Genomic DNA, 25,900 nt, shown 5'->3' with positions numbered 1-25,900 from the left:
TTCAATTTGGAAGACAGTCGCCTCGTGGTGAAAAAGAGAAAAGGGATGAAAAAAGATGAGGAAAAAAAATGGATAAATCTAGCCTGAAGGCTAATTTGCATATTTATTTATTTGCTGTCTTTTATTTCTTTTATTAAAATGTTGACATTGTTTACTCAGTAAAACTTATTTGCTTGCAAGAAGTTACACTTACTAGGGTTTATTTAAGAAGATTTTATTCTTATGAGAACATGTCTTATTTCCAAGGAATAGAGTAAGTAGATTTATAGCCAAGGAAACATTTGATTTGGAACTTGAGGTCTCCGTGTTTTTGGTCTATTAATATTTAACAGATCCTCAGTCCAAATGCCTAGATGCTTAAATATCCATAAGTTGTACTTTTAGCCATAATGCTTCACTCTTTCCTTTTTAATTTGAAGGTTATACATTATTGCTTTACCAAAAGACAATGAAGCAAAATAGCCTAATAACATAAATTTAATAAACTGTATCAGAGCAGAAATGGAGAGATAGCTTAGCTTCCAGTTAATTGGACCACAGTCTCGTACTAGATCATCAGAAACTACTGTTTTTCAGCATTTTAAAACATGCATCTTTAGTCTCCCCTGAAATTATCCTCTTTGCCAGTTCAAAATCTTTATGTCCATATACGGTTATTTTTGAAATCGTAAGTCATATGTCTGTTCATCCCCTTTCCTATAAAGCTCATTATCTAAACATTGTCTCACACTTCAAAGGATCACCTGTTGATGTGAATGGATTTACCAGTGGAACTCAGGCAAGAGATTCCAGGCTGTGAGCGTTACTGTTTTTGTAAAGGGAAGGTAACTTTTATATATAGTTTGCCTGCCTTTGGACAGTCTTGTTTCTACCTTCTAAAATACGATAATTGAAAGCACAGCGTTCCTATGGCTTGCTGATAGATTGTGAGAAATAACAGCAAAATATATACAGCTGAGGAGATTGCATCAATACATCTCTGCACCGAAATTATGGCAGTGATTTGCCTAGAATTGGGGGCTATTAGATCAAAGATTGTCCTAAAGTTTAAAGTTACATTCAACCAAACACATGGACAATTTTTGTTAATATCATATTAGACCAGATTTACCAGTTGTTTTCTAAAATTTAATATACATTTTTTAACCATTTTAGGTTACAGAAAAAGCAGAAAGTATAGAGAGTTTTCATATAACATCCTCTTTCACGAGTTTCCTCTAGTTTTAACATCTTGCATTAGCATGGTACATTTGTAACAGTTGAGGAGCCGATACTGACATGTGATCGTTAACTAAAATCCATAGCTTACATTAGGGTTCCCTCTTTTTTGGGTGTAAGTTCTGTGGATTTTGACAAAGGTATAAATGATGTGTCAATCATTACAGTATCATGCAGAATACTTTTACTGCCCTAAAAGTCTCCGTGTTCCGCCTGTTCATTTCTCCTCCCCTGTATTCCTGGCATCAACCAGCCACTTTGATGTCATATCAACTCTTATACCCTCATAACGTGTTTTTTATTGTCATCATTGTTTTGTTTTTGTTTTTCTGTTAATGACGTATGGCTGTGACAAGGTAATGAGACCAGCGGCTGTTGTTGGAGGACCTTTTTTCTTAATTCCTGGTTACTTATCCTTGAATTATGTGACAAGCTGATAAATCCAATAACCATGGATTTTCCATTGTTTCAACCTGCCAATACTTCTCTCAAGCTTGTATATCCAAGAAAATATAAAAAATAGTAGAGCAGAAAATTACAAGCTTCCATACTTATCCTACTCTCCCTGTGTCCCCATCCCCACTTCTGGTGGCTTTCCAACTCAGTTAAGTCCTGTACTTAGCCAGTTGGTGACCACACAATGTGACATGTTTTATATCCAAGTCAGTCTCAGACTAGGTGAGTTTTTTATGTGGCAGATTACTGCTTAGTTTATACTCAGACAAAAAGGAAAAAATTAAACATATAAACACCCTTTTTTTTTTTTCGAGAGTCTCATGCTGTTGCCCAGGCTAGAGTGCAGTGGCGTGATCTCAGCTCACTGCATCCTCTGCCTCCCGGGTTCCAGCGATTCTCCTGCCTCAGCCTCCTGAGTAACTGGGATTACAAGCACGTGCCACCACACCTGGCTAATTTGTATATTTTTAGTAGAGATGGGGTTTCGCCATATTGGCCAGGCTTGTCTCAAACTCCTGACCTCAGGTGATCTGCCCATCTCGACCTCCCAAAATGCTGGGATTACAGGCGTAAGCCACCGTGCCCAGCCTAAACCCATGTTTTAAATTAATGCAATGATTGTATTAGCCTTTCAAACATTAAGACTGGCAAAATTGTTACAACTATGGAGTTTTCATTGATTCATCCTACTCACCATCTTTTCCTTTAATATCTGAACAAACCCCAACTCTGTTCACTGTTCTCCCTGTGAGTAGACTAATGGAACAAGAGCAAACAGTAACACAAACAGACGCTAACACAAGTTCATGCAGAATCAATAAAAATCAGTACAACAGAAGATAAGTCTATGTGTTTTTGATACATACGATTAAGCATGTGCCTTTTTAACAATTTATATAAAACCTAAAATATATGTATTTCTGATTTTTACCTGTAGTACTGAAGAAGTTACTTAATAACGTTGAATATAAAGGCCACTTTTACTTAACCACCTTCCATTCACTATTAACTGCTGTTTCCAAAGTGTAAGCAAATCAGTCTCTGTGTACATAGTCAAGTGTATACAAGCGTCAGGCGTAACAAACTCAAGATGAACATGACAGTTCAAAGATATTTGGGACAAAATTGTTGAAGCATTTTTACCCAGGGCTCTGTAGCTCTGACAATGAAAGAATATAGTTGCTCTTCCAGCTGCTATTCAGACAGAAAGCTTGGGCAAGAAGGGTCTGTATCTATGTTCTTCATAATACAATTACAAGTTTGAACTTCAGATAACATCAGCAGTTGGCATGTGGAAAACCAAAACCCTATTTTGGTATTTATCAAGATTGTTAATGGAGTCAGGTTTCCCTTATTTGTTTCTTTAATGGGGTACAGAACATCCTGTTGGATAACCCGCTGAGTGACATGACGATGCTCTGAAGGAATGCATGAGAGCTTGTGGTACCTGCCTTGAAACATGGGTTTCACTAATGCTGGTGGCTCACACTTCCCATTGAACAAGACTAGAGATAGGAAGGCTATTTGAGGGACACAGCTATGGAACCATAGGTGCCACATGGTAAGCCAAATTTTTATTTGTTGTGTTGTTGTGAAAAACCTTATTAAAAGAGCTTCCAATGAGAGTACTTGATTAATAACACAGTTCGTATCTATAGAAATAATTTGCTTTTCAAGAAAATCATCATGTGCTACAGTTGAATTGACATTAATGTTATCATTCATTTTGAATGATCTGTGAAGTATTTTAAGAGAGATCTGGGGAAGTAAATCAATAAGTAGTTTAACATAAATCAAGGTGCAGTTAATTTTTTTCAATTAGAAATATATTACAAAGATTCTGTCATTTCCAACAACGTGAAATAACCTGGAGGAAATTGTGCTGAGTGAAATAAGCCAGACACAGAAAGATGCATATTACTGATCTCCCTTATATATGGAATCTAGAAAAGTAGAATTCATAGATACAGAATAGAAGAGTGGTCACCACGGTCTTGGGGGTGGGGGACATGGGGAAATGTTAGAGTGTGACAACTTGCAGTTACAAGGTGAATATGCTCTGGAGACCTAACGTATAGTACAGCATAGTTACTCTACTCAATAGTATTCTCACTGCACCCCCCAACTCCCCCACACACACAGTAACTCTTTGAGGTGTGGATATGTTAATTAGCTTGATTTTGGTAATCATTTCACAGTGTATACATATACCAAAACATCACTTTGTATACCTTATATATGTACAATATTTATCAATCATACTTCAATAAAGCTGGAAAAATGCATGAATATTATATATATGTATATGTATATACAAATGTATAAGAGATTATAGCAGATTATAGCTCTTTGAAAAAGAATAACATTTCAGCCCAGTTCTGACTAAGACCAAACAAAAGGTGATAGCATGTTTTAGTTCCTTAAATGTGGATTTGAGGAGTCAAGAAATCTCCAAGTGTAGGAAAACCTCCGTGGCAAAGAGTGTAGAATATGAGAATCACAAAAATAGCATGCACAAAATAGCCTGCTGTGATGTTGAAAGTATAAGAGCTAGTAATTATTATTATTATTATTATTTTTATTTTTATTATTATACTTTAAGTTTTAGGGTACATGTGCACATTGTGCAGGTTAGTTACATATGTATACATGTGCCATGCTGGTGTGCTGCACCCACTAACTTGTCATCTACCATTAGGTATATCTCCCAATGCTATCCCTCCCCCTCCCTCCACCCCACAACAGTCCCCAGAGTGTGATGTTCCCCTTCCTGTGTCCATGTGATCTCATTGTTCAATTCCCACCTATGAGTGAGAATATGCGGTGTTTGGTTTTTTGTTCTTGTGATAGTTTACTGAGAATGATGACTTCCAATTTCATCCATGTCCCTACAAAGGACATGAACTCATCATTTTTTATGGCTGCATAGTATTCCATGGTGTATATGTGCCACATTTTCTTAATCCAGTCTATCATTGTTGGACATTTGGGTTGGTTCCAAGTCTTTGCTATCGTGAATAATGCCGCAATAAACATACGTGTGCATGTGTCTTTATAGCAGCATGATTTATAGTTCTTTGGGTATATACCCAGTAATGGGATGGCTGGGTCAAATGGTATTTCCAGTTCTAGATCCCTGAGGAATCGCCACACTGACTTCCACAATGGTTGAACTAGTTTACAGTCCCACCAACAGTGTAAAAGTGTTCCTATTTCTCCACATCCTCTCCAGCACCTGTTGTTTCCTGACTTTTGAATGATTGCCATTCTACGTGGTGTGAGATGGTATCTCATTGTAGTTTTGATTTGCATTTCTCTGATGACCAGTGATGGTGAGCATTTTTTCATGTGTTTTTTGGCTGCATAAATGTCTTCTTTTGAGAAGTGTCTGTTCATGTCCTTCGCCCACTTTTTGATGGGGTTGTTTGTTTTTTTCTTGTAAATTTGTTTGAGTTCATTGTAGATTCTGGATATTAGCCCTTTGTCAGATGAGTAGGTTGTGAAAATTTTCTCCCATTTTGTAGGTTGCCTGTTCACTCTGATGGTAGTTTCTTTTGCTGTGCAGAAGCTCTTTAGTTTAATTAGATCCCATTTATCAATTTTGTCTTTTGTTGCCATTGCTTTTGGTGTTTTAGACGTGAAGTCCTTGCCCATGCCTATGTCCTGAATGGTAATGCCTAGGTTTTCTTCTAGGGTTTTTATGGTTTTAGGTCTAACGTTTAAGTCTTTAATCCATCTTGAACTGATTTTTGTATAAGGTGTAAGGAAGGGATCCAGTTTCAGCTTTCTACATATGGCTAGCCAGTTTTCCCAGCACCATTTATTAAATAGGGCATCCTTTCCCCATTGCTTGTTTTTCTCAGGTTTGTCAAAGATCAGATTGTTGTAGATATGCGGCGTTATTTCTGAGGGCTCTGTTCTGTTCCATTGATCTATATCTCTGTTTTGAACCAGTACCATGCTGTTTTGGTTACTGTAGCCTTGTGGTATAGTTTGAAGTCAGGTAGGGTGATGCCTCCAGCTTTGTTCTTTTGGCTTAGGGTTGACTTGGTGATGCAGGCTCTTTTTTGGTTCCATATGAACTTTAAAGTAGTTTTTTCCAGTTCTGTGAAGAAAGTCATTGGTAGCTTGATGGGGATGGCATTGAATCTGTAAATTACCTTGGGCAGTATGGCCATTTTCACGATATTGATTCTTCCTACCCATGAGCATGGAATGTTCTTCCATTTGTTTGTATCCTCTTTTATTTCCTTGAGCAGTGGTTTGTAGTTCTCCTTGAAGAGGTCCTTCACATCCCTTGTAAGTTGGATTCCTAGGTATTTTATTCTCTTTGAAGCAATTGTGAATGGGAGTTCACTCATGATTTGGCTCTCTGTTTGTCTGTTGTTGGTGTATAAGAGTGCTTGTGATTTTTGTACATTGATTTTGTATCTGGAGACTTTGCTGAAGTTGCTTATCAGCTTAAGGAGATTTTTGGCTGAGACAATGGGGTTTTCTAGATATACAATCATGTTGTCTGCAAACAGGGACAATTTGACTTCCTCTTTTCCTAATTGAATACCCTTTATTTCCTTCTCCTGCCTAATTGCCCTGGCCAGAACTTCCAACACTATGTTGAATAGTAGTGGTGAGAGAGGGCATCCCTGTCTTGTGCCAGTTTTCAAAGGGAATGCTTCCAGTTTTTGCCCATTCAGTATGATATTGGCTGTGGGTTTGTCATAGATAGCTCTTATTATTTTGAAATATGTCCCATCAATACCTAATTTATTGAGAGTTTTTAGCATGAAGGGTTGTTGAATTTTGTCAAAGGCTTTTTCTGCATCTATTGAGATAATCATGTGGTTTTTGTCTTTGGCTCTGTTTATATGCTGGATTACATTTATTTATTGATTTGCATATATTGAACCAGTCTTGCATCCCAGGGATGAAGCCCGCTTGATCATGGTGGATAAGCTTTTTGATGTGCTGCTGGATTCGTTTTGCCAGTATTTTATTGAGGATTTTTGCATCAATGTTCATCAAGGATATTGGTCTAAAATTCTCTTTTTTTGTTGTGTCTCTGCCTGGCTTTCATATCAGAATGATGCTGGCCTCATAAAATGAGTTAGGGAGGATTCCCTCTTTTTCTATTGATTGGAATAGTTTCAGAAGGAATGGTACCAGTTCCTCCTTGTACCTCTGGTAGAATTGGGCTGTGAATCCGTCTGGTCCTGGACTCTTTTTGGTTGGTAAGCTATTGATTATTGCCACAATTTCAGATCCTGTTATTGGTCTATTCAGAGATTCAACTTCTTCCTGGTTTAGTCTTGGGAGAGTGTATGTGTCGAGGAATTTATTCATTTCTTCTAGATTTTCTAGTTTATTTGCATAGAGGTGTTTGTAGTATTCTCTGATGGTAGTTTGTATTTCTGTGGGATCGGTGGTGATATCCCCTTTATCATTTTTTATTGCGTCTATTTGATTCTTCTCTCTTTTTTTCTTTATTAGTCTTGCTAGCAGTCTATCAATTTTGTTGATCCCTTCAAAAAACCAGCTCCTGGATTCATTAATTTTTGAAGGGTTTTTTGTGTCTCTATTTCCTTCAGTTCTGCTCTGATTTTAGTTATTTCTTGCCTTCTGCTAGCTTTTGAATGTGTTTGCTCTTGCTTTTCTAGTTCTTTTAATTGTGATGTTAGGGTGTCAATTTTGGATCTTTCCTGCTTTCTCTTGTGGGCATTTAGTGCTATAAATTTCCCTCTACACACTGCTTTGAATGCGTCCCAGAGATTCTGGTATGTTGTGTCTTTGTTCTCGTTGGTTTCAAAGAACATCTTTATTTCTGCCTTCATTTCGTTACGTACCCAGTAGTCATTCAGGAGCAGGTTGTTCAGTTTCCATGTAGTTGAGCAGTTTTGAGTGAGATTCTTAATCCTGAGTTCTAGTTTGATTGCACTGTGGTCTGAGAGATAGTTTGTTATAATTTCTGTTCTTTTACATTTGCTGAGGAGAGCTTTACTTCCAAGTATGTGGTCAATTTTGGAATAGGTGTGGTGTGGTGCTGAAAAAAATATATATTCCATTGATTTGGGGTGGAGAGTTCTGTAGATGTCTATTAGGTCCGCTTGGTGCAGAACTGAGTTCAATTCCTGCGTATCCTTGTTGACTTTCTGTCTCGTTGATCTGTCTAATGTTGACAGTGGGTGTTAAAGTCTCCCATTATTAATGTGTGGGAGTCTAAGTCTCTTTGTAGGTCACTCAGGACTTGCTTTATGAATCTTGGTGCTCCTGTATTGGGTGCATATATATTTAGGATAGTTAGCTCTTCTTGTTGAATTGATCCCTTTACGATTATGTAATGGCCTTTTTTGTCTCTTTTGATCTTTGTTGGTTTAAAGTCTGTTTTATCAGAGACTAGGATTACAACCCCTGCCTTTTTTTGTTTTCCATTTGCTTGGTAGATCTTCCTCCATCCTTTTATTTTGAGCCTATGTGTGTCTCTGCACGTGAGATGGGTTTCCTGAATACAGCACACTGATGGGTCTTGACTCTTTATCCAATTTGCCAGTCTGTGTCTTTTAATTGGAGCATTTAGTCCATTGACATTTAAAGTTAATATTGTTATGTGTGAATTTGATCCTGTCATTATGATGTTAGCTGGTTATTTTGCTCATTAGTTGATGCAGTTTCTTCCTAGTCTCGATGGTCTTTACATTTTGGCATGATTTTGCAGCGGCTGGTACCAGTTGTTCCTTTCCATATTTAGCGCTTCCTTCAGGAGCTCTTTTAGGGCAGGCCTGGTGGTGACAAAATCTCTCAGCATTTGCTTGTCTGTAAAGTATTTTATTTCTCCTTCACTTATATGAAGCTTATTTTGGCTGGATATGAAATTCTGGGTTGAAAATTCTTTTCTTTAAGAATGTTGAATATTGGCCCCCACTCTCTTCTGGCTTGTAGGGTTTCTGCCGAGAGATCCTCTGTTAGTCTGATGGGCTTCCCTTTGAGGGTAACCAGACCTTTCTCTCTGGCTGCCCTTAACATTTTTTCCTTCATTTCAACTTTGGTGAATCTGACAGTTATGTGTCTTGGAGTTGCTCTTCTCGAGGAGTATCTTTGTGGCATTCTCTGTATTTCCTGAATCTGAACGTTGGCCTGCCTTGCTAGATTGGGGAAGTTCTCCTGGATAATATCCTGCAGAGTGTTTTCCAACTTGGTTCCATTCTCCCCATCACTTTCAGGTACACCAATCAGACATAGATTTGGTCTTTTCACATAGTCCCATATTTCTTGGAGGCTTTGCTCATTTCTTTTTATTCTTTTTTCTCTAAACTTCCCTTCTCGCTTCATTTCATTCATTTCATCTTCCATTGCTGATACTCTTTCTTCCAGTTGATTGCATCGGCTCCTGAGGCTTCTGCATTCTTCACGTAGTTCTCGAGCCTTGGTTTTCAGCTCCATCAGCTCCTTTAAGCACTTCTCTGTATTGGTTATTCTAGTTATACATTCTTCTAAATTTTTTTCAAAGTTTTCAACTTCTTTGCCTTTGGTTTGAATGTCCTCCTGTAGCTCAGAGTAATTTGATCGTCTGAAGCCTTCTTCTCGCAGCTCGTCAAAGTTATTCTCCATCCAGCTTTGTTCCATTGCTGGTAAGGAACTGTGTTTCTTTGGAGGAGGAGAGGCACTCTGCTTTTTAGACTTTCCAGTTTTTCTGTTCTGTTTTTTCCCCATCTTTGTGGTTTTATCGACTTTTGGTCTTTGATGATGGTGATGTACAGATGGGTTTTCGGTGTGGATGTCCTTTCTGTTTGTTAGTTTTCCTTCTAACAGACAGGACCCTCAGCTGCAGGTCTGTTGGAATACCCTGCTGTGTGAGGTGTCAGTGTGCCCCTGCTGGGGGGTGCCTCCCAGTTAGGCTGCTCGGGGGTCAGGGGTCAGGGACCCACTTGAGGAAGCAGTCTGCCCGTTCTCAGATCTCCAGCTGCGTGCTGGGAGAACCACTGCTCTCTTCAAAGCTGTCAGACAGGGACATTTAAGTCTGCAGAAGTTACTTCTGTCTTTTTGTTTGTCTGTGCCCTGCCCCCAGAGGTGGAGCCTACAGAGGCAGGCAGGCCTCCTTGAGCTGTGGTGGGCTCCACCCAGTTCGAGCTTCCCGGCTGCTTTGTTTACCTAATCAAGCCTGGGCAATGGCGGGCGTCCCTCCCCCAGCCTCATTGCCGCCTTGCAGTTTGATCTCAGACTGCTGTGCTAGCAATCAGCGAGACTCCGTGGGCGTAGGACCCTCGAGCCAGGTGCGGGTATAATCTCGTGGTGTGCCGTTTTTTGTTTTTTTTTTGTTTGTTTGTTTGTTTGTTTTTGAGACGGAGTCTCGCTCTGTCGCCCAGGCTGGAGTGCAGTGGCGGGATCTCGGCTCACTGCAAGCTCCGCCTGCCGGGTTCACGCCATTCTCCTGCCTCAGCCTCCCAAGTAGCTGGGACTACAGGCGCCCGCCACTACGCCCGGCTAATTTTTTGTATTTTTAGTAGAGACGGGGTTTCACCGTTTTAGCCGGGATGGTCTCGATCTCCTGACCTCGTGATCCGCCCGCCTCGGCCTCCCAAAGTGCTGGGATTACAGGCGTGAGCCACCGCGCCGGGCCGGTGCGCCGTTTTTTAAGCCCGTCGGAAAAGCGCAGTATTCGGGTGGGAGTGACCCGATTTTCCAGGTGCTGCCCCTCACCCCTTTCTTTGACTAGGAAAGGGAACTCCCTGACCACTTGTGCTTCCCAAGTGAGGCAATGCCTCGCCCTGCTTCGGCTCGCGCACGGTGCGTGCACCCACTGACCTGCGCCCACTGTCTGGCACTCCCTAGTGAGATGAACCCGGTACCTCAGATGGAAATGCAGAAATCACCCGTCTTCTGCGTTGCTCAGGCTGGGAGCTGTAGACCGGAGCTGTTCCTATTTGGCCATCTTGGCTCCTCCCCAAGAGCTGGTAATTATTACCCAACGTTTAGAATATAATGTAACAGAACGTATTTGGAATACATTTATCTTTTAATATTTCAAAGGAGAGATAAATGCAAACTAAGATTTTATTTATCATTAAATTCATTGTTCTTTAGTTTGAAAAACACATATACTCATATTTTTGTCACGTGATTTTAACCAGCATAAAGCAATAGCTGCCACACCAAAGTCAAGTGAAGCTGTGAAAATAATTAATGAAACAATTCTGATAAAAGCATCTTTATCCTTCATACAGGTTATAGGCAGGATTGTGGTTGTGCCTGTGTGTGTGTGTGGTGGGGTCGGTGGGGGGATAGGAAAGTTAGTTTATTCACATGATTCTCAACATAGACATACCTTGCAAATAATTGTGCAATTCCCTGCTTTGCTTTGCAGACAGAATGTCTTTGAATCAATGTCTTTTATAAATACACTATACAAAAAACATAATTATAAACCTTTAAAGTATTTATGCATACTTTAATATTCAGAACTAGAAGAGAAATTTCTGTAAGGAGAAATGCTTTGGAGATTAAAACGTAAAGGAGATAACCAAATTTTACTAAACCTCTATCCATCATGACCACATTTCCTTTCATTCTAAAATAAAAATATTTTGGAAATGTTGACCCCCTGCCCACCATTTTTGCCTGAGAAGTTTTAAATGCGAAGAACTTGCTCCTCACTTTTGAAGCACGGTGCTTTCTTTAGGAACCAATCTGTATCACATGCATTCTATTGGTTTGTATTTTATTACATATCATTCTATTACATTTTAAAATGCATTTCTGAGCCCATGTCATTGATTTCATGATTCATTAATGGGTTGCAAGCAGCAGCTGGAATAACACTGGCTTAGGTAATGGCAGTATAAATCACATGTTGGTAAAATGAAAGATGCCTTTCTACCAACACGTTATAATGGCCACTCGATGCCAACATGGCAGTGTGTTACTTAAACCATATATCAATCAACACAGAAGCGACATAACCAAAATGTTTTTACCATCATTTATAGAAGATTATGAGTTTCATGCAGCCAGGATTAATTGCATTGCTATTATAGAACTTAATATAAGTTGTATCATATTTGATGGAAGGATGCTAACTATCAAGAGGATATAAATTTTAAAAACAATGATACTGTTTTGGATAAGTCCTGACTGTCTGCATTTTATCTAGAACAATATATGTTCATGATTAACCTAGAAAATAATGACAAAAATGCGCAATGAGTAGAGACTTGCCCTTGGAATTCCTAAAATTATTAGGAAGGTACAATGTTCTCCAAGAAATATTGGTAAGTGAAAAAAACAAGGTTTACAATAATGTGTAACGGATGCTATCTGTGTAACAAAATGTGAAAAAACATATATGCAATTTTTTGGCAAGAAGATACCCTGAAAACATAAACCAAAAAGCCAAAAAAAAAAAAAGAAACTTGCTGATGATACAGAACTTCTCTGACTGTACATTTTTCTCATAGTCTTAACTCTGATAATTACATACATGTTTGACATTCTCAAAAGTAAGAACATAGAAGTACATAATATATGCAGGATAAAGCAAATAACAGTTTATGTGAAGATTGTTAGAAGCCAAGGTTTTCATGGAAGTTATTAGTATGAAGTCAAAGTAGTACATTAAAATCCAGTAATGTTAATTGGATTTGGAAGTAACAGTATGAAATTTTTTCTCTAAAAATGTGTGCAGGAATCTCTTGCTTAAGATCAGTAATCTATTCCCAAAAATAGATTTTGAGAGCACATTTCTGTTCTAAATGGGAACAATTATAGTGAATGGAAGGTAAACCAAAACATAGCTATTTCCTACAAAATAATTGATACCTAATAATGCCTGTAGAAAAGCATAGAAAAGTGACAAACTCTCTTGATAAAATCTAAAATGTATATTGTTTCCTAATCAGCAATTATTGATGTTGCTAACATACAGTTGCTTTGTATCTAGTTACATGGACCGTGTATATGCTGTATGAGAAATTGTCACTTTGTGGTATAGCATAGCAAATAACACAGCAATCAAAAAGTTAAAAGTCAAAATTAAAATAAATAAAAGACCCATAATAGACTGTTTTTCACCTTGCTAAAGGAGAAATGACTCTTGAAGAAACTCAAGAAGGGACAAAGAAAGGTCAAATCAGTCATTGCTATTTGCAGAAGGTGATGGGTGGATGGAGGACAAGGGGGCAATCTTCGACAAACTGTCATATGAAGAGGAATGAAGAGACCTTCCCCATGTCTGTGTCTAGTAGATGCTGTAGAGACTTGCTGGACAGGAAAGCTTTGGTAAATCTTCAGAAATGATGTTCAAGCTGAAGGAAGATGTTCAAGCTGCATTTTGGTTGCAAAATGCAGATTTGCTTGTTTTTCTGTTGAAAAATTCCTCTATGTGATGCTGTAAGAGTTACCAGGCTATTATTAAAAGAAAGATGTATTGTCACACTGAGTATGTCTGCAAAACTTTCTTAGTAACTGGCCTGTTTGTTTATACTCAATGCACATGTTAAGATGGCTACATAGGATTCTTACTATGTTCTATCAATTTGGAATGTAACTCAACATTCTTCCAGCACATAAAGTTGTTTACAATATATAATGAGTGTGAAAGATATAAATAAATACTTCTATTTGATGTCTACACCAACATTAGATGAAAAAATGAGGTAGTGAGAAGTTGATATATATCCTGTAAATTAGCATATTTAAAACCAAAAATCCTTCTACTGGGTAAATATTAACTAGGAAAACATTCTACAGGATATAATGCATTTTTCTAGCTCTGCCCCCTGAAAAGGTCTAGTAGTAATGTGATCTGATGGCACTAAACACTTCTGATCTCAAATGATAGCCTCTAAAATGCTGTTTTCCAACAAAGAGAATTAGGGCTCCTGAAGAAATGGCTGATGCCAGGTGTGGAGGAGAAAATGAGCAAGCTGAGCTTGTGATATATGTTCACCCCAGAGAGGGCTCATGTCACGTGGGCACCAACAGAGAGGGGTCTCAGGTAGCAACAGTGGGGCCATTGGACCATCAAAGGAGCAATTAGGGTACTTGACTGAAGCCTGTAGGTTCATAATTTTTACTCTAAAACAAGGAAGGAAGGTGGGAAGAAAGGGGAAAGGAGGGGAAGGGAAGGAAGAAAGGAGGGAGGGAGGGAAGGAAGGAAGTAAAGAGCTAGAACAACAATGAAACAAAATATCTTTGATAACTTTTTGGGGGAGTACAGAGTGGAAATTTTGCATTTCTGGAGGCTTTACAAGATGGGGATCTGTGCTTCAGAAATAAGTCAGTAAAGATACATTTACATAGATGTTTCCTCCAGTATTGCTTGGAAAAGCCAAAATCAAAGTGATGTAGATAGTTACCTAAGAGATGAATAAAATAAATAATGGTACATCTTTTGTATGGAATATTACATAGCCACTAAAAATAATGGAGCAGAACTCTACTCAATGACATATAAAAATGTCCATGATATATTGTATAATGGAAAAAAATTTTAAAGCAAAAGGTTTTACCTTATTTATTTCACAAGCTAAAACCCTATATGATTATACAAACCAATGTGTTTGCCTTAAAAAGATAAAAGTCTGGTGTCCTCTAAGACCATACCACAAACAGTGATCACCTCTGGGATTGGAATTTTATAGCAGTTGTGGGTAGAGAGAGTTTGGGAGAAAACATTCACATTTTATCTCATAATTCTTATATTTTTAAAGCTTTTCTATGAGCATTATTTTGATACATATGTGAGCAGAGATGGTCCCTTCTAGGTACCAGTTACACCATTGCTAAACCTCGTCTGTTTCTTCCAAAGGTGTCAGGCAGCGAACAAGACCTGCCCCACCAATTACATGTGGAATAATCACATCTGCAGATGCCTGGCTCAGGAAGATTTTATGTTTTCCTCGGATGCTGGAGATGGTAAGCAGAATGATGCTTTAAAGACTAAACGCCAGGGGTCTATATTGTGATTAACATACTCTAATATTAAAACCACACATATAATATTCATCATTCTTCTAAATAAGTGACTAAAAAATAGTACATTTTCTACTTCACGTTGGTATTATTTTGAACTCCTTTATAAAGGAACATACTCATGTTTGTACCCAATCCTTTGATGGAAAACATACAAAAGGAAGATGCTTTTAAAAGCTTTTGTTTCATGCCACACCCAGAACCAAGTAAGGTATAGTAAAGATTCTCTGACTATTTGTCTAGACTCAACAGATGGATTCCATGACATCTGTGGACCAAACAAGGAGCTGGATGAAGAGACCTGTCAGTGTGTCTGCAGAGCGGGGCTTCGGCCTGCCAGCTGTGGACCCCACAAAGAACTAGACAGAAACTCATGCCAGTGTGTCTGTAAAAACAAACTCTTCCCCAGCCAATGTGGGGCCAACCGAGAATTTGATGAAAACACATGCCAGTGTGTATGTAAAAGAACCTGCCCCAGAAATCAACCCCTAAATCCTGGAAAATGTGCCTGTGAATGTACAGAAAGTCCACAGAAATGCTTGTTAAAAGGAAAGAAGTTCCACCACCAAACATGCAGGTAAGAGATCCTCATGAAGAATATTAATTTATCTTACTAGAAATATGCTCTAAACCAAAAGCAGTTTTCTTAACCAAAGTAACAATTGCTTGTTAGAATGAGGCCAATACATTCTGAAAGACAAAAATCTTATATTTTTTTAACCAATGCTAAACTTGCATGAGACTGGATTTGCTTCCAAAAAAGCAAGACAGGAGCCTTGAGGATCAAAATTAGATCCAAGCTCAGAATATACTCTAAATTAGTGGTTCCTGTGGGATGTTTTCAAAATACCTAAAGGCAATCCACTTCACCCCCACCAAAAAGTAGGATGCCTTCAGACATAATTTAGGACAACTGTTCTAAATGCAGACAATTTTTATGCAAAACTTACAAACAAAGGACAGGAGAGTACCACTGGTATAGAATTATATCTGGAAATGAAAATACATAGCTAAGTATTTGATAGAATTAGAGAAATAAATGAATATGTTGTTAAAGGTACCCAAGACTCATGTCTTAAACTTGGTTTTGACTCTTCTGCATCAAGAAAAAAAAAATGAAGTTATTCGACTCAAGCACATTCAGTGTTAATCCCGAAACCTCTTCCTCTTTAATCTCAGAGAATAAATTGATCCTACTATTTAAGCCAGACCTGTCCGTTTGACATTTTCTCCACATTCCTTCAACATTGCTTCATGCCATTCCTTCTTTCTTCTGTAACTTGAACATCTTCAACTCTACTTTTTTTCCCCTTAGTTTATAAAAGTTCCCAAATTTCTTCTATTTTATTAGCCTCTTACTGTGAAGTTGAGCAAACTTTAGCAACCCAGGTCTGTTCTCTTCAAAGCTGCTCAAAAACGAGGCATTTGTTTTCACCTCTTTCACCTACCATGTATTCAACCAACTAAAACCTGGTTTATGGCCTACAGTGCTATGTTAAACCTCTGTTTAACGTTTCATTGGCCTCATAGTTGCCAAATCCAACAGAGAATTTTGTCCTTAGGTAACCTGTCCTTTCCATGGCCTTTTTCTTTAAGCTCACCTCTTCTATGACATGACATTGTACTTTCCTAGTTGTCTACTTAATTTTCAGACCATTTGTTTTTAATCACTTTCACTGGATTCTCTTTTTACATCCATTCTTTACATATGGGTAGATAATGTTCTTTTTAACAGAAAAAAGCTTGTATTTCATTTATTTACTATCTTCACTAATGTTCATTATTATTTTTCCACAGTATATAACGAGTTCATCTTTTTATTCTCAAGAGTTTTGTGTCCTTATTTTAATGTATATTTTTGGTGGTTTTCCTAAACTAATATTTTAGCTACTGGATAAAAAGGCTTTAGTGGATCTGGCTATCTCATTGATTATATTTTTCTTCCCTTATACTGCAAAGTACATCATAGGTATAATTTTATTTTGAGAAAGAACTATATTCCAATTTTACCTATATATTCCTACTGTAATAACCAAGAGGACATTTCAAAAATGTATATGCTACTATTTTCAGAAGGATATAGATACTAAATCTTTTTAAGCCTTATTAAACTATGTTTTATATTGAATTCTTATTGAGTGAATTTAGTATACATTGAAAAATCTGAAATTCTTATGTCTGCATACCTACTTTTCTACAGAATTATATGAACACAGACAATATTTCTATCATTGCATTTCTCCTAATACTATACATTCTTTCAAAAAGACTCTGTTTACTGCAACTCATCCTAGATTCATTTTTCTAAGTGTATAATTCCAAGCTTTGTGATATAAATTGGAGCAAAAGAGAAAATATCATATTTTGAAAATATATATTCTCCTCATTCTCTCTTAATATCTATTACAAAGTGCAGTAGGCAGAGTATATATTCTTTGGTTCATTGCCTTAATTAACAGCTTTTATGGATCATTAAGTATCATATCCCTTTTTAGTAGAGGAATACCAGTAGTCATAACTATGAATTTGCATTTGCAAAGTTTAAGAAAAATTAACTAGACATGCTTTCTTTTCTAGAGCCAAATAAATGAAATGTCAAAACCAAATTGTGTAGGGTTTTTTATAGCACACTTTTGATTTCCACCTCAGGTCATCTTGCACTTTTCCCTTTACACCTATTCCCACACATTAGGCATGCTCATACTCCAAAATGTTTTTAAAAGATAGCTCCAATTCTCACCAGGCGTGGTGGCTCACACCTGTAATCCTAGCACTTTGGAAGGCCAAGGCGGGCAGATCACTTGAGGCCAGGAGTTCAAGACCAGCCCAGCCAACATGGCAAAACCCTGGCTCTATGAAAAATACAGAAACTTAGCCAGGCGTGGCCACACATACCTGTAATCCCAGCTACTCGGGAGGCTGAGACACAAGAATGGCTTGAGCCCAGGAGGCGGAGGTTGCAGTAAGCTGAGATTGCCCCACTGCGCTCCAGCCTGGGCGACAGAACAAGACTCTGTCTCAAAAAATGAAGCCTCAATTCACTGGAGCAACAGGGCAGGAGACACACTGACCAATTGATAATTTGTCCTCTCACCGCTACTGGAAACTGGAAGTCTAGGATGGGAGGAAGGGGACCCTCGCTGCTGAGTATTGTCCTTCTCACCTCCCTGCCCCAGAATGCCTCTGTTTCACCTGGAGCCAAGGTGGAAAGGAAGAGTTAGTCACCGTCATGCAGCCAGCTGCCAAGTAGAGACACAAGAGTGAGGGTGGGGCTGCTCACTGAGGACCACAGTTCTGCCAACATGGCTGGGTTTAATTGCCTGGAAGTCTGGGTCCCATACAAGTCCCAGACTCATGTGAATTCTGCCATGCTTATGTGATCACAGTAAGTCAGCAGACCTTCAGTGTTCACTTTCAGAATTTCTGTTTTATGTTTCTTTCACCCATGAAGCAAAGAGCACTTCAAAGGAACTAATGCTTACAATACCTCATCCTTCCATTTGTTATATCAGCAAGCAAGACTTTTATTTTAAGGCTTTTCCATTCCTCTTAAATGTTGTAATTCTAAGCAGAAACAAACTTTTTTAAACCTATGAACAATTTCGTCATAAAATTAGTAATTTTATTCCAGTCTGAAATTTAAAAACACAGAAATACCTTGGTAGCATGATGAATCCATTGCCTTGATCTTTAACGTAAGTGTGTTCTTGTTTGTTCTCCTAGCTGTTACAGACGGCCATGTACGAACCGCCAGAAGGCTTGTGAGCCAGGATTTTCATATAGTGAAGAAGTGTGTCGTTGTGTCCCTTCATATTGGAAAAGACCACAAATGAGCTAAGATTGTACTGTTTTCCAGTTCATCGATTTTCTATTATGGAAAACTGTGTTGCCACAGTAGAACTGTCTGTGAACAGAGAGACCCTTGTGGGTCCATGCTAACAAAGACAAAAGTCTGTCTTTCCTGAACCATGTGGATAACTTTACAGAAATGGACTGGAGCTCATCTGCAAAAGGCCTCTTGTAAAGACTGGTTTTCTGCCAATGACCAAACAGCCAAGATTTTCCTCTTGTGATTTCTTTAAAAGAATGACTATATAATTTATTTCCACTAAAAATATTGTTTCTGCATTCATTTTTATAGCAACAACAATTGGTAAAACTCACTGTGATCAATATTTTTATATCATGCAAAATATGTTTAAAATAAAATGAAAATTGTATTATAAGCTGCTAAGTTCAGTCCATTATCATCTTACATGATGAACGAAAACTACTATCATGAAGACACTGATCTTTCTCTGCCCTTTTTTGTTCTCTAACCAGATGTCACATATGTATTACTATGATAAAAAGTATGATCCTGTGAAAGAGAGTGTCAGAGGACAACAGAATGCTATTGCTTCATCTCTTATATGTTTAATGATTATAAACATTTTAGTACATGATACTTTTGAATTTATGACCAAGTGAATCAATATGAAACATCTTGTAAGATAGACTACTTAGCATTGTGATTAAAAGTCATTCAGTGCTCTGAGAACATTCAGAATCTTACGTTGGTAGAAAATCCTGCAGTATATATTAAAATGGCTTTAAATATTTTCTCAAAAATAATCTTTTCCAAATATTTGACTTTTTCTGGCCAGCTAAAATACTTTTTGTGAGTGGAAGTGCTCCTATCCAATACATTTTAAAAAAAAACTAAAAATAATATTTAAATACTCATGCATGTTTAAAAGGAAACATTTCAGCCACACAATTGAAGTGCTTGTTTCATTTTCAAAAAGGCATTACACTAAAATACCTTTATCTTTTTTTTTTTTTTTCTTCAGATAGTGTTGCTCTGTTGCCCAGGCTGGAGTGCAGTGGCGTGATCTCAGCTCACTGCCCCTAACCTCTGCCTCCCGGATTCAAGTGATTCTCCTGCCTCAGCCTCCTGAGTAGCTGGGATTATAGGCACGTGCCGGCACACCTGGCTAATTTTTGTATTTTTAGTGCAGATGGGGTTTCACCATGTTGGCCAGTCTGATCACGAACTCCTGACCTCAAGTGATCCACAGACGTCGGCCTCAAAGTGCTGGGATTACAGGCATGAACCACCGTGCCCAGCCTAAAATACCTTTTACTAAAACAAAGATTTTGCCTGCATAAATAAAACCAAATAAGTGGTTTGTTCGTTGACAGAGAATTATATACTGGTACATCATAACTACTGTATAAAAATAATTAGTCCTGAAAAGAGAAAATATTCCTCATAAGCATGTAAAGGTAGCACATTAATTTAACTAAAACATTTTTGTTTTTTTGAAACGGAATCTCGCTCTGTTGCCCAGGCTGGAGTGCAGTGGTGCGATCTCGGCTCACTGCAAGCTCTGCCTTCTGGGTTCAAGCCATTGTCCCGCCTCAGCCTCTCGAGTAGCTGGGACTACAGAAGCCCACTAAAACATTTTTAACTGGTATAGGTGACAAATCAGTATGATACAAAATATCAGTATCTATATATTTTGCTACAAAATAATGTTTTCTTTCAAACTGTTTAATTAGGAAGTCAGTGCCCTGAAAATATCCTGTTTTCAATACTAACTTTAAAAAATGGTTTTAGTGCAATGGTTACTGAATTCCAGCTGTGTGCTCTGTACAGCATTATCATCTAGTTCATGAAGTAAAGTTGTTTATGTCCTGGAAAAGGAAAGCAGTCTTCCAAAACACTCTCATTTACGAATTATAGACTATTTTTCTATTTTTTAGTAACAATGGCTCTGAAGCTTGTCAGCAGTCAACATATGCATTGGGCATTCTACATACTGGCTAAGGTCTAGAAAGTTTTCAAACTTAAGAATAGTTAAAAAAAAAAACTTTGAAAAGTAAATTTGACAATGGGTGATTACAAAACGAAAATTGAGATCAAAATAACCTCTTTTCATCTTATAGGGAATCACAATCCCTAGTGTATAAAATGCTCATCATCTTTGAAATTCAGCTAAGATTCATTTTTTCATCTTATTTGAGCCAAAAGGAATATAAATAAACATTACATAATCTGTTACTGTTGATCTGGCCAATCATTTTTACATTTGATATATTCATTAATTTTTAAGCTAAATTAGGAGTAAAATATATTCTAAGTTTCAGTAAGCACCCTGAGGCCATGTAAAGAATAGTAGAACCTGATACAATGACTGTCATACGTTATCAGGTTTGAAAACAAACTAAACCGTGTGCTAAACATTAGTTTTTTGGGGTAAACCAAAGAATGAAAACACGAAATCAAAAACTAAAGCCTGAATCATGCCAGAAAAACTATTTAATCTTGTCCCTGGAGATGTAATAATTTTGACCAAAAGTGAGAGTATCGTAAACAAAGATAATATATTGCCGAAGATACTTGCAAACAATTTTATGTGGACCATAAAAATCCCTCTTCAACACATTATAATGAGTGAGATGTTGTGTAGCCAGTGAAGAAAATGGACTAAAGATAAAGCTAAACAATTAATTAGATTAACAAATATGATGCAGCAAAAAAGCTAAAAACTACAGTGAGAATGTTCATAAACTTTGCAGGAAAGTCCTGAGATGCCAATTCAGTCAACCTAAGTGATAAAGTTAAGAAAACTCTGGAAGCTCGCAGCAGTTATTATCTTAAAGCAGTTAGTATATTCCAAATCTTAGAAAGTTTATAAACAGAATTTTATGTCCAGAAACCTAATAGCACATACTCCTTTTAAAAGACTCAAGGAAAAATTGTTTTGGTGAGCAGTTGTGTAAGAGTTAGCGTCCAGATTTTTTGGGGGAAAGCTTTTGACATTTACTAACTGCTTGGCTGAAACAGATTCCATTATTAGAATTTCTAAAAATAACCTTTGTTCTTTGTATTCACACCACTCAAAACAAGTTTGAGTGGCAAATATAAGACTGAATTCACTGACGTACCTAGAATGCACTTTAAAGAAAAGAGAAAGGGTCATGAACTTATCTCTAGGCACTAGGCTTTCTCAAGGGATACCCCGCTTATGAAGGAATTTTACTCAGTGGATGAGAGAGAAGAAACAGACACAACAGGTGAGAGAGTTCATATTACAGCAATTGTTTCATACATTTGCTGTATGAATACGGCAAAGCTTATGAAACTCCTTACCTACATACTGAAGCTCCCATGTTTATCTGTCTAGGAAGTGCTGGGGCTAAGAGAATACACAGGTCTCTCGGCCCACACTCTTCTACATTGCTATGCTGTCCCCAAGATCTGAGCTTTCATTAGCAGGTTTTCCAAAGGATATTTTTTAGGGACTTTACCTTTTAAATTAAAAATGAGAATAGCATAAAAATAGTATTTCACTCTGCTACAGAAGAAAGAGCAGGAATGTGTCTGATTTTTTCTAGATGAATTCTAGAAAGTCCTGAATAAATCCAAATAAAAGTGTCTATCGTACACCCAAACAACAATTTAAGGAAGTCAGTGACACATATCGTGTCATAAAGTAATTAATTATGAAAGAATTACTAATTTATCTGTTCGTATGTTTGAATTATTGGTATATATGGATTTTTTTTTTTTTTTTAAGAAGGAGTCTCGCTCTGTAGCCCAGGCTGGAGTACAGTGGTGCGATCTCGGCTCACTGCAAGCTCTGCCTCCCAGGTTCACGCCATTCTCCTGCCTCAGCCTCCCAAGTACCTGGGACTACAGGTGCCTGCCACCATGCCCGGCTAATTTTTTGTATTTTTAGTGGAGACGGGGTTTCACCGTGTTAGCCAGGATGGTCTCGATCTCCTGACCTCATGATCCGCCCACCTCGGCCTCCCAAAGTGCTGGGATTACAGGTGTGAGCCACCGCGCCCTGCCCTATATGGATATTTTTAAAGTGGGGAATAACTATCTGCTAGCTTATGGAAGTGTGAGCCAGTTTCATATGTTCTTTTCATTACATAACTAACAACTCGTTGTCTAAAGAAGCATACTGTAATAGAAGGAGCTCTGGATTGGGAATCCTAAACTAAGTTTTTAATCCTTACTTTTCTGTGTCCCTAGGCAAATCACCACCTCCCGAGTCTCAGCATGTTAATCTGTGAAGGAAAGAGTTGGATTAAAATTGTGTATGAAATCCTGGCTCTGAAGTTACAAAGTTTGTTCTAAACTATGTACAAGGGGAAAGCAAAACCAGAACATTTTAAGAACTCCAGGGACACAGCATTCTTGAGATTACTGACCCCATTAAGAGGAAATATTTATCTTTTAAAAATGTTGCATGTAAAAAAATTATAAATGAAAAACATATCAGCCTTATACTATAATTCTAATTCTACTTCTTAAATCCTAACACATTTCCATAGCTCAAAGCATCATTCTTCCTGATTTCTTCATATCAAAGGTGATATGGATAAAGACTTTGAAAAATTTATTTTCAAACATCTTGAAAAAAATTAAACCATGAAACTTTCATAAGGAAGGAAAAATTAAGACTTCTCGTGCATGCCTTCCAAAGCTCAATCAGATGCACATATACTGTATTCAGTCCAGGCAAGGCCTTTGAAGCAAAAATCAATTTCTAATGTTGTTACCATATGGCATTCTGATGATAGGATTTCATTAGGGATTGGACCTTTGTTTCTGGGATTTGACATCTATATAATTGTAAGTACAGAGGTCAAAATGTTGAATACTACCCATAGACTCACCCACCAGGACTGATTATATATCAGACTTGATGAAACATGACGATGACTGTCCACACTACCAGCAATAACTGTTTTGATTGGATAGAAATGATGGTGAAACACTGTTAAAAACTTTTTAAAAATTCACTGAGTAATGAATTTCCAGCTAAGAAAGAATTGAAAATGTCTCAAACCAAAATACTTAATTTTACAAAGAAAATTTCTGAATACTTTTAAAAAGAGAAAAAAGTTTTCAGGAATATTCAACACCATTGGACTTTATAGCAATATTTTTAATGTGCCATTAAAGTCATGTGGAATTTTTTTCATTATTTTAAGGCAGCTGTGCATCCTCTTAGCCTTTTTGAAAATTCATTTTCTTATATTCAAATGTATATAGTTTATATAGCTCTGTTCAGTAATTTTTTTTTTAAGACAGAATCTCACTCTATCACCAAGGCTGTAGTGCAGTGGTATGATCTCAGCTCACTGAACCTCCACTTCCAGGGTTCAAGTGAGTCTCCTGCCTCAGCCTCCGAGTAGCTGGGATTACAGGCACTCGTCACCATGCCCAGCTGATTTTTGTATTTTTAGTAGAGATGAAGTTTCACCGTGTTGGCCAGGCTGGTCTCGAGTGGTCCTGACCTCAAGTGATTCGCCAGCCTTGGGTTCCCAAAGTGCTGGGATTACAGGCATGAGCTACCATGCCTGGTCCATTGAATTTCTTTATTGGAAATATGATTACACCTATAAAAAATGTAACTCTGTCCATTCAATTTTAAAAGGACTCCTTTTCTTTGATATTAGTGACGTCGCTAAACACACGCCATCCAGATTTCACAGAGCCCTTCCTAAATATGTAACAAATGGCTTCTCCCTGTTATTCACACTTCATATTTCCTTTCTATACAGGTTTTTTTCAAAGCACTAGTTTTTTTTTTTCTATATCACCTTCTCATCTTAAACAATATGATTTAACCCTTTATTATTTCTTTCTTTACACTCATACTCTAATGTTTCCACTCCACAATATTTTTGGCAACTGCTGCTCAATAATAGCTATCACAGGAAAAACAATACCAGGAATCAGATAAGATTTTGGAATCTTAAGTTCAAACATTCTCAGCTTCCTTCCTTTCTTTCCCAGGCTTTGGATTGACAGAATGATACCCATTTTAATACTGCACTTCTTAATTGTGATGATACCTTTGAAGCTCATTCTCCTCATAGAGCACGCAGTAAGTAAAGGGCCACAGACAAGCACTTGGACTTGCTAACAAAAGGGAGGGAAAAACGAAGGAAGAAAGGAAATGAAGAAAAGGAGAAAGTAGGAAGGAAAAATATGGAACAAAATAAGGAAGGGTGAGAAAGGAAAACAAAAGAGAAAAAGCAGGAACACTAAAATTTTAAGAAAACATGAGGGGGGTCTCATGACCTGTTGGGACAGGGATAGGGAAGGTGTGGTCACGTCTTGAAATGCACAGAGAAATTTCTGCAATTTGTGAACAAGAATGGTAAAGACAAAATTATATTATCTCTTCAGCAGTATTTGAATTGGATTGTGGTATTTATTAAGTAAATGAGATAAATACCGTGATGGTTGTTTGAAAATTTCAGTGGTAAAAGTCTGAAATAAAACAGTGAAAGGTATTTGGCATGAAATAACTTCATTCTTTACTTGTGCACATGGACACTCTAATGCCACATCATCTATGATTATTCATACAATGGTGTATTGCTTTTGAGAGAGCATGAAGAAACTAATAATTTCCTAATTTCTAGATTTAAAGCAGATGTTTTTACATGAAATTTTGGATCACCTGAGAATTTGGTTGTGATTTTTTTTTTCTAACAAGACATATGACTGGCTTGCTCTTTGTGTGAGAAATTTACAAGCTCAGTTGTCCCTATCATATTGATGAAGGACAGGCAAGCCCCAAAATTGGGGCTCAGCCAGGGAGGGTTCTTGGCTTCATCTAGGAAAGAATTCAAGGACAAGCCAGTGGTGTGAGACAGCAACTTTTATTGAAGCAGCAGCAGAGGTACTTCTCCTTGTGGAGCAGGGCTACCCCGTAGGCAGTGTGCCCAGAATAGCAGCCAAGAGGCAGTTCTGCAGTCATATTTATACTCACTTTTAATTACGTGCAAATAAAGGGGAAGTTTATAAAGGAATTTCTAGGATGAGCGTCGTAACTTCTGAGGTTTCAGGTCATTGTGGTGGAAAGCGGTGCTAACTTCCAGGTGTTGCTGTAGCAATGGTAAGCTGACATGGTACACTGGTGGGCCTGTCTTAGGGGGAGGTGCTTCTTCCCTGGACCTGTTTTAGCTAGTCCTCCATTTGGTCCAGTGTCTGAGCCCCACCTCCTACCTCAGTATCTGGGTGGGCAGTCAAGCTTGACAACTCACCCTCTAGGGCATGTAGGAAAGAGAACTCTTATTTGTCCACATCATGTGGTAACTTATTCCCTGGGCTTCCGGGAAACTAGAGCTTCAATAATGGAGGGATATTGGAGTTTGCAGAGTTCACTTAAACAATCATCAGTCTCTTGTCTGCATCTGAGATAATTCGAGGAATTTGGTTTAGACCTAGAAGGGGTTTTCAGTAATTGTA

General features: G+C 37.8%; 1 protein-coding gene and 1 long non-coding RNA gene across 2 annotated transcripts in view, besides 1 other annotated feature; one reads left to right on the top strand and one right to left on the bottom strand.

Annotated features, from left to right (window-relative positions):
* Positions 1-18,860, top strand: part of VEGFC (vascular endothelial growth factor C) — a 109,385-nt gene extending 90,525 nt beyond the window's left edge. Inside the window, exons 5-7 of the mRNA NM_005429.5 lie at positions 14,471-14,577; positions 14,878-15,211; positions 18,358-18,860. Of these exons, the coding sequence (NP_005420.1) occupies positions 14,471-14,577; positions 14,878-15,211; positions 18,358-18,472 (556 nt within the window). The 3' untranslated portion in view covers positions 18,473-18,860. The remainder of the gene's footprint in view (positions 1-14,470; positions 14,578-14,877; positions 15,212-18,357) is intronic.
* HAFML (HuR (ELAVL1) associated fibroblast migratory lncRNA) overlaps positions 1-25,900 on the bottom strand; it is a 51,960-nt gene that overhangs the window by 3,746 nt on the left and 22,314 nt on the right. The gene's annotated exons all lie outside the window — the stretch shown is intronic.
* Positions 9,172-10,059: an enhancer, noted in NCBI's record as "NANOG-H3K4me1 hESC enhancer chr4:177613493-177614380 (GRCh37/hg19 assembly coordinates)". NCBI's record gives its function as "activates a minimal SCP1, AML or CMV promoter by ChIP-STARR-seq in naive H9 embryonic stem cells {active_cell/tissue: H9 hESC(naive)}" and the evidence as "EXISTENCE:reporter gene assay evidence [ECO:0000049][PMID:30033119]".

This window comes from Homo sapiens, chromosome 4, assembly GCF_000001405.40.
Source record: "Homo sapiens chromosome 4, GRCh38.p14 Primary Assembly".
Classification (NCBI taxonomy): Eukaryota; Metazoa; Chordata; class Mammalia; order Primates; family Hominidae; genus Homo; species Homo sapiens.
This window is presented reverse-complemented; position numbering and strand designations above follow the sequence as displayed.